This window comes from Homo sapiens, chromosome 15, assembly GCF_000001405.40.
Source record: "Homo sapiens chromosome 15, GRCh38.p14 Primary Assembly".
Lineage (NCBI taxonomy): Eukaryota > Metazoa > Chordata > Mammalia > Primates > Hominidae > Homo > Homo sapiens.
This window is the reverse complement of record NC_000015.10, coordinates 75,757,996-75,766,626: the sequence shown is the minus strand read 5'-3', so window position 1 is coordinate 75,766,626 and position 8,631 is coordinate 75,757,996. Positions and strand designations below refer to the sequence as shown.

The 8,631-nt window shown below is 55.1% G+C and overlaps 1 long non-coding RNA gene and 1 other non-coding gene across 8 annotated transcripts, besides 1 other annotated feature; one reads left to right on the top strand and one right to left on the bottom strand.

Moving 5' to 3' along the window:
* Positions 348-847: an enhancer, noted in NCBI's record as "H3K27ac hESC enhancer chr15:76058121-76058620 (GRCh37/hg19 assembly coordinates)". NCBI's record gives its function as "activates a minimal SCP1, AML or CMV promoter by ChIP-STARR-seq in naive H9 embryonic stem cells {active_cell/tissue: H9 hESC(naive)}" and the evidence as "EXISTENCE:reporter gene assay evidence [ECO:0000049][PMID:30033119]".
* Positions 3,306-8,085, bottom strand: LOC101929408 (uncharacterized). Of its 7 annotated transcripts, none has more exons than XR_932484.3 (5): positions 8,000-8,085; positions 4,498-4,604; positions 4,200-4,285; positions 3,878-3,972; positions 3,306-3,644 (listed from the first exon to the last, which is right to left on the bottom strand). It is a non-coding gene; the product is annotated as an uncharacterized LOC101929408 (long non-coding RNA). The 7 variants fall into 7 exon arrangements; XR_932486.3 differs by having other exon boundaries at positions 3,878-3,952; XR_002957748.2 differs by having other exon boundaries at positions 8,014-8,085.
* On the top strand, positions 4,312-4,412 carry MIR4313 (microRNA 4313). The gene has a single exon (NR_036198.1). It is a non-coding gene; the product is annotated as a microRNA 4313 (primary transcript).
* Positions 8,086-8,631: the final 546 nt, after the last annotated feature.

The window sequence follows — 8,631 nt, the reverse complement described above, 5'->3', positions numbered from 1 at the left end:
TCGCAGGCTGGGCCAGGCCCCCTGCCCAGCACTAACATCTCTTTGTGAGTCTCAACCAGACTGAGCTGCAGCTTCAGGGTCAGGGTAGGCGCTGACTTAATTGATGTGACCCAGGACAAGGGGGTTTATTGATGGTGTCAGACCTGCTTAAGTTCTTGGCCTCTATAGTCTCTTTGGGGCATAATACCCCTCTGTCCCATGCTTAGGTGCCCACGTGTGGCCACAAGTGCCTTTCCTACCACCATCCCTACTTGAGGCTGGTGTCCAGGCACCTGTGGCTCCAGGCAGAAGGCTGAGCGCAGAGCCAGGCCTGGGCAGACATTCCGCAGGGGCTGCAGGAGCTGACAGTCCTGACCACCCAGCCCGTGGCCATCCATTCCCCTTCACCGTGGCTGGCCCCTCATCCACCATCCTTCCAGGGGCCAGGCCTGGGCCCAAACTGACTTTTGCCTGCCCCTGGTCCCCCTCGTGCCTGCCAGGTTCTTTGCTGAGCGTGATGGTCTTGCCCATTTCCTTGATTATCCTCAATAAGAGGTTTATAGAGCCACTTGGGGATGTCACATCTCCTGTCTACCAGGTCCTCACCAGAGACAGGACTGCATTGGGCCGGGCCTGGGATAGTCAGGGGTCACACTCACCTGTTGGGACCTAGCTTCAGTGGCTTCAATCTGGGCAATGGCCTGATGGGCGGCTGCCCCTTCTCCTCTGCTTGGGGGAGGCAGGAGAGGAAGGTCAGGCAGGAGATCTGCTTCCTGCTCTCCTGACGCTGGTTGGAAGCAGGGCGCCCACCTGTGCCTGTCTCACCTTGCTGCAGGTGCATCGGAGGCCAAACCCCTCTCCTGATCTCCTGCAGGTGCGGATTCCAGGTTTCCAATGGGTGTCGGGGTGGGCTCCAGAGCTCTCCTGGTCCTAGGGAACCCTGGGCTCCATGAGGCCTTGGCCTAGCTGGATTGTTTCCCACACTGTCACCTCCCCACCCGGTCACTTCCCCAAACATGGGGCTGCATACTCTGTGCCCTGGGTGGGACATTGGAAGGAGTTCCACCTTCCAGGTTTGGATCACAGTAAAGCCTCTGCCATGGGGATGTGCTGGCTGAGACAGATGGGGTTGAACCAGCCCTGTCACTTTGGCCTTGGGCAAGTCACCTGTGCCTTGCTTCCCTTTCCCCAGCAGCCAGACAGCTGGACAGGGATAATAGCACCTATTTCACTTGTACTCAAGTGCTCACTTGTTAGCAGGAACTAAGTCCTGGAGGAGGTGCAGGCAGAGCCATCGAGAAAGCACTGCAGCTGGACCTGGGTCTGAGTCCCAGCTCCTGGCTGTGACATGCGTCTCTCCCTCTGTTTATTCATCTGAAGGACAGGGCTGTGCTGTTCTGGGGTCACTGTGACAATGCAACTGGCCTGTGTGAGTTGGTGGTGGCCTCCTGAGATGGTTTGAGGTGGGCTGGAGGTGTGTCTTGAATGCCCCCTCACCCCCATGGGGAAGACCCACTTAGGGAAGACTCATGTGTCTGTATGGAGGAACCCACATTCCCTGCCCCTCAGCTGTCCTCTGTCCCTTCCCAGCCCCCTCTGCTGTCCTGCAGGCTCTGACGGTGGCCATCCAGCTTGGTGGCCATCTGGCTGGTCCAGTCTTCCAGGTGGACCCTCTGTCCTCAGGTGGTGCAGGTCCCATTGTGCCACCTCCAGACAGGCCATGCTAGCCCCAGGGCCTCCGTTCCCTGTTACCCAGCCCCCACCCCCAGGTACGTGCCCCCTCCCTAAAGCCCACTGTGTCCACCAGCTGTGTTTCAACTCTGTCTCTGTGCAAGGCCTAACGCAAAGCCTGAAACAGCCTGGCTTGTAGAGGGCCAGGAGACCAAAGCTTGAAGAGAGAGTGACGGTCTCCCAGAGCCCACTTAGCCTCAGCCCCAGGGCTGTGTCCATGCTGTTCCTGGCTCCATTGAGCCAATTCTCTCCCCTGACGCCTGTAAGGGCTCCAGTGGTGATGGAGGTAGCTGGAGAGAACAAGGCTGTCTTAACCCTCCCTCCCTGAGAAGGCCCAACGGGGAATGTTTTAGGCATCAGGGCATTCTGGGGGCATCTTCCAGGGACCCCTCCTACACCCTGCCCTGCCCTGGCTCTCTAGTCAGAAATTGCAGTTGCTTGGACAGTGGGGCTGACCCAGGACAAATGCATATGTTAGGCTGGTTTTCGGGGTGCCGGGGTGGGGGCATGGGCGCTTCAGGGATAGGAAGGAGAGGCCTGTGTGTTCCAGAAGTACAGAGGAACCTGGTGCCGGCTGCAGTCAACCCCTATGTGATGATCTTTCTACCCGCCCTCTTTGATGTCTTGGTGCTGGCTGCTGTCTTTGGCCACGTAAGCTCATGGTCTGGGTTCCTGGGGTCCCCTCGCTGGGCCTCCACACTGCCTGCAGGTAGAGGAGCCTTCAGGCCAGGACTATCCTTGGCTCCCCCTTCCAGGTCATGGGTTCAAAGACCATTCCTGGGTTCCACCACCGCCAAGCCTCAATGGTGTCCTGATGGGCCCGGGAGCTGCTGGGGCTTTCTGGGTTAAGACCCTTGCCTATCCCGGTGTTCCCCCCTGCAGTGGGGCTGCAGGGGGTGGCCTCAGTCTCTGCCCTGGGAGCTTGCCTTGCCCCGGCGGCCCCACACCTGCCCTGGAAGACTCCCCACACCCAGTGGCTCTGATCCACTGTAGAGCAGCCAGGGTCCCCGTTGCTCACACCCTCTGGCCTGAGGCTGACTGGCTCTGTGGCTGGCTTTGGGGGGTCAAGGAGGGGGTTGGGCCTTGCCCTCAGCAGCTCCCATTTCCACTCTGACCCCTTTTCAATCTTCCTCCTCTTGTGGACTCTACCCTGGGGCCCTCCCAGCTCCTCACACCAGATGACCATCTAAATATCTAGAAATCAATATTTTAAATACCAACTTTGGATTGCTTCCTGACTTTTCCATACTCCCAAAAGGCCAGTGTTTCTCTTAGGACTGACAGTCTCTCCAGCCCTACTGGGCCAGACCAGGCAGGCGTAAGGGTGCCCCTGCCCCAGCCCTCTTTGGGGCGGGCTTCTGTCCCCTTCCTGCCACCTGGCAGCAGGACCACACTTTGGTGGCAGGTGAGGCAGCAGAGACTGCGGACCCCCCAGCTGTGCCTAAGTCCTCTGTGTGGTCTAGCTATATGTGCTGGGGGAGGCTCTTGGCCACCATTTCCCCATCTGTAAACGAGACCAATACCTGTGGAGGGCAGGAGGCTGGTGTGAGTGCCAAGCACTTGGAGCAGGGCCCTGAATGAGCATGGACGTGGGAGCAGGGGTGTTCCTCAACTTTATGCACCTTGGGGATGGGAGTGGGGCTCCCCACGTGGGTTGACAAGGCATTGCTTTCCCCCACCCCACCTCTGTCCCAGCCCTGCAAGTCCAGTCCTTGGGGGTTTCGGAGGGAAGAAGCCCTGGCTGTGTGTCCTCGAGCTGGTCCTTGGCCCTCTCTGGCTCTGAGTTCCTGGGAAAGTCAGTGGTGTTGGAACTTCGGATTCATTCCTCGGGGTTGAGGCACTGTCTGTGGAAGCCGTGGGGCAAGGTGAAGGCAGGGAGAGGAGAGGTTTGCAGTTTGGGTTTCAGCAGAGGGAGCAGCAGCATGAGGGGTCACCTGTGTGTAGAGGAAAGGGAGTGAAGGCCAGGAGTGGGGAATGAGTCTGAGTGCACCCAGGATGGTGGTTCGTCTCCTCCCACATCCACCTGGCCCCGGGGGAGGGAGAAGAAAGGCCATAAGACAAAGGGCCAACTGAGTTGGGTCCACACATGTCCTTCCAGGACCTGGAGGTGCCACTGTCTGGCCCTCATGCAGTGGGAAGTGGGGGAAGGAAGATTCCCTCCCCATACCTCCTGTTCTCTGTCCCAGGTCTCCTGGCCTCCTGTGCTCCTAAGTTCAGTTTCTGTCAGCTCCCAGCATCATTTCTAGGGTTGGTGGGAGGCAGCTGGGAACAGGCGAGGGGTAGGTGGGGCCTGCTTGAGGGAGTCTGCTTGACTGCCTGGGCCACTGCCCAGTACTGGGGAGCTTTTCTGGCACACCAACTGCACCACCCAGGTGCTGCCCACAACAGCCCCTGGGGAGTGTTTGCAGAAGGCCTTGGCAGGGGGCGCGGTGGACCCCACCCAGAACAAACAATTGGGGTGGGGTCAGGGAGAACCGCCCTCCACTTACCTGTCTGGAGAGGGTCCTCTGTACCACACTGTGTGCTTCTACACACCCAGGCTGAACACCCCATGGGAGGCCCTCCACTTTAGCACCTTGACAAGAAGGGTGGGGACACTGGGATCAGGCCCAGCCCCCTGGCCCCAAACCCTGCAGCCCCAGCTGGAGGATGAGGAGATGCTGGGCTTGGGTGGGGGAATCAGGGGTGTAAAGGGGCCTGCTCACTCCTCAGCTTGGCTCAAGGCTCAAGGCATCAAAGGCTCAGCCTGCCCCTCAGGAAGGAGCCTGGGCCCAGCCAGACACTCACCAGGACAAGGGTGAATGTGACGAGCAGGAGGCCTAGAATGAGGAGAGCCACAGCATAGCCGGGGATGGAGGCATCCAGCAGGCTGGAGGCTTCAAGGCTAGCAGTGCCTAGAGCAGACCAAGAAGGCTATGGCCAGGTGGGGCCCTGCCTCCCAGACTTCTGAGAAGGCAGAATCTGGCACCAGAAGTTGCTGCGGGACCAGAGAGCTGGGGCTAGGAGCATCTTGGAGGGCTCCATGAGGAGGGGAGGCAGGTTTCAGATCAGGGCATGTAGAGGCAGCAAGCCCAAGGGAGGAGGCAGATGGACAGAGGGAGGGGGCCTGCAGAGGGAAGGAGGTACTGACCGAGGTCTGAGATGACCGTGTCTACCAAGAGGCCCTCTGCCTCCCCCAGGGTGTGCAGACCCACACGAGAGCCTGGGCTGATGCCGCCCTGAAGAAGGTGGCACCCACTCTGACGGTCAGTGGGTCCAGCCTGGTGGGAGGATCATCCCACTTCAGGGGGCTGGGCAGCCTGGGGGGCCTAAGGGAGGTCATCTCTTCCAGCCTCCTGCCTTCAACCCCAGAACCCAGGTCTGAGCCCTGGGTCACCCAGGGCCACCCTGGACCCACCGGAATTCCTCCACCACCACTGGTCAAAGTTCTGCAGAGATCTGAGGACGAGGGTCAGCTGGGGGGTCAGGAGAGGATGAAGAGGGTCACAGCTCTACCAAAGTCTTGTCCAGTCATCCCCCATCTTCCCGAGGCTTCTTCCCCGCCCCCCCACTTCATCCCGCCACTTCACCCATCTTGTCGGTTGCCCCTGAAGTGCCCAGAACTCAAGGCTGGTTTTGTCCTCCAAGGCCTTGGTGTAGGGCTGGCCCAGGATCTGCAGCCAAACTTCATACAGCACCAGCTCTGCCTTCTCCCCTAGAGCGACAGGGGTGGAGGTGGCATCGGCCTGCATCCCCTCTCCTGGAAGCCCTGGAGTGGGACACACACCCAAGCTCTAATGCTCCATCCAGGGGTCAGCTGCTGTTGGTGTAAAGGCCAAATTTCTTGCTGCCTGCTTTTGTGTGGCCCACGCGCTAAGAATGGCTTTTACATGTTTAAATGGTTGAAAACATGGAAAGTAGAGTCGTATCTTGTGACACATGAGAATTACGTGAGATGCAAACTTCCATGTCCATAAAGAAAGGTTTCTGGGAATGTGGCCACGCTTATCTGTTGACATGTTGCTAGGGCTGCTTTCTTGCTACAGGGGAGGGTTTGAGTAGGTGGTGACAGAGACCCAGTGGCCTGCAGAGCCTTAAAGAGTTCCCATCCGGCCCTTTACAGAAAACGCTTGCTAACCCCTGCACTGATCCACCTAATGGAATACACTGCCCACTCCGTGAGTTGATCCTAGTAGGAAATGTTGCTGATAATTTAACAGCTGCTGCTTTTATGTTTTATTTTGTCCCTGCTCTGGTGGGAGACATGTAAGAAAATTCACTCCCTGGGAGGAGGTCATGGTGGGGCTTGTGGCCATCAACGGTGAAGCCTCTTTAAGAGGATGCGTGGGGAGCTCTACCATCTGCTGAGAGGGTTGTGAGGGGCCCTCTGTGTTGAGGAATGAAGAGGGAACGCTGCCTGTGTGCTGGGAGCTGGCTTTCTGGGGAGCAGAAGAGATGGTGGTTCGGGCCTGCGGAGGCAGAGGCCCAAACCAATCTGGTCTCTGGGGCTGCCGGCAGGGAGAGTAGTTGTGTAGGAGTGGGTGCAGGGGCAGAGCCTGAAGGAGGGCACCCCTGACTGCACCCCCAGGAGGCTGTGGTGGTGGGGGTGGGGCAGCACTGTAGGAGGACCAGCGCCTTCTGTGGCTGAGGGGTCCTTGGAGAGCAGCTCCAGGCAATGCGTAGCTGGAGGGGACTGATTTGACCCAGCGCTCTCCTAAGCCACAATGCCCGGCCTAATGTACTGTTTATTTAAAATTCTAAGGATCTTTAATAATTTTAATAAGGATCTTTAAATAATTTTCCATGGATCATATTTTTATTGCATTTTAAAATAATTTACAATTTGCTTTCACACATATTCTCCCTCATCTGATCCTCACAACTGCCCTGGGAAGGAGGTTGGAGACAGAGTTGGGGCCTGTTAGGAGACAAATTTACACAATGCATAAGAAAGCTCACTGTGAGCCGGGGTGAAGAAGGGAGGCTTGGAGAATCATGAATGCAGTATCTATGTCTATATTCCCAGCCCAACCACAAAGCCTGAAATTCATTTAGGTATTTAAGAAATAGCTGCTGAATTATTGCCTAGGGGTGCTCAGCTCAAGAAGCAGGGTTGAGACTAACAATCAAGCTTCCTGACTCCTAGCCCAATACTTTTCCAAACACACCACCTATTTTTCTGTATCGGATAGAAAGTATAGTGCTTAAGTTGTACATAATGTTAACTCACTTTCAATACAGGCCAATCATGATTGACTATCAGTAGCTTTTGTGACAAACTTAGTAAACTAGGAAGTTGAACCTTTCAGAGTTCCCCTTCTCATGTCATATGCTATTTCTGTTTTGAAATAAAAATCCTTCCAAATGAAACTTTATCCATCAAAATGACAAGAGAAGTGAAAATAGATACAAGAAGAAAATAAAACATTAATTTCAACATGGCTTTGTCTATTTTGCTTTAAAAGTATAACCACCAAGCCATTCTATTTTTAGGAAGACACATTCTTTTTGGAATGTTAAAAACTATGATAACTATTCTTAAGTCCTAAATGACCAGTATGGGTATTAGTAGATAACTGGACACAGTGCAAGGTCAGAAGGGTGACTGAGTGTGGCAGAAAGGGCAGTATCTCCAGCAACTGCAGATGGATAAATGACAATGAGTCCAGATAATGGATTATGATACAACCATTCAAATAATGCTTATGAGTACTTGATAACATAGGCAAAAGCTTAAGATACAATGTTTTAGACAGAAAAAAGGGAAGGTGGAAAAAAATAGATGGAAAGCATGACTTCAATCATGCATACTGATGCTTCCACTTTATTTTTATTTTTTGAGACAGGGTCCCACTCTGTTGCCCAGGCTGGAGTGCAGTGACATCATGATCTCGGCTCACTGCAGCCTCTACTTCCTGGGCTCAAGCAGTGCTCCCACCCTAGCCTCCTAACTACCTGGGACTACAGGCATGTGCCACCATGCCCAGCTAATTTTTTGTATTTTTAGTAGAGATGGGGTTTTGCCATGTTGCCCAGTCTGGTCTCAAACTCCTGAGCTCAAGGGATCTGCCTGCCTCGCCCTCCACAAGCCGGCCGGCCTGCTCTGTCTTACCCGCCCCCCCACTCCTGCCCCCCACTCCTGCCCCCGTCTCAGGAGCGGGATGGCGGTGGACTCTTCTCTACCAGACCTGCAGCCCTCACACCCGCACACACTGTGTTTGCGGAGAGGCCAGTGAAGACACCCTCCCCCCGTTTCCGGAGCCACTGTCGCCCCCTCATTCCCGCTCCAGCAGCCCATGCCTCGCTTCACCTCTGGTGCCTCACCATCAGGCCAAGAAGCCAGGGCCCGGGAATTTCTTTTTCCGGTGGCGCCAGGTCAACAGATTCGACGATCACGTGACTTGGACAAACGGCCTCTGGGAGGGCGGGGTCTGCTCGAGTGAGGCCGGAAGCGGACCACAGCCCGCAGGAGGTGCTGGAGGGCGAAATGCTGGCGTCTCCTCCTATGTCTTCCAGAATCCTTCCCTGGAAAAAAAGCAGCGCCCACCGCCAGTTTAACTGAGGACCGAATTAAGACATTAGGAAAGACAGTGGAAGTTATTTCATTTGTTTAACTTAAGGGGGTAGGATCCCGGGAGCCAGGGGGATTCAGGTCATTGCCATGTTTTCCACTGTTAAGCGAATAGCATTATACACAGCTGCGGGCTGCGGCAAAAGACATTTTAAAAACTATTGAAATCTACTACACATGCAGAAAATTGTACCTATTAGAAATATAAAGCTTAATAAGTGTTCATTAACTGTAGACCTCACATAACCAGCACCCAGATAAGGAAATAACCAGATAACTTCTTCAAGTGCATGGGTGTTTTATTTCATTTTGATGAATTGTGTAGGTGCCTAGCAAAAAGGGCTGTCATAATTAACATGCTCAGGAAAACT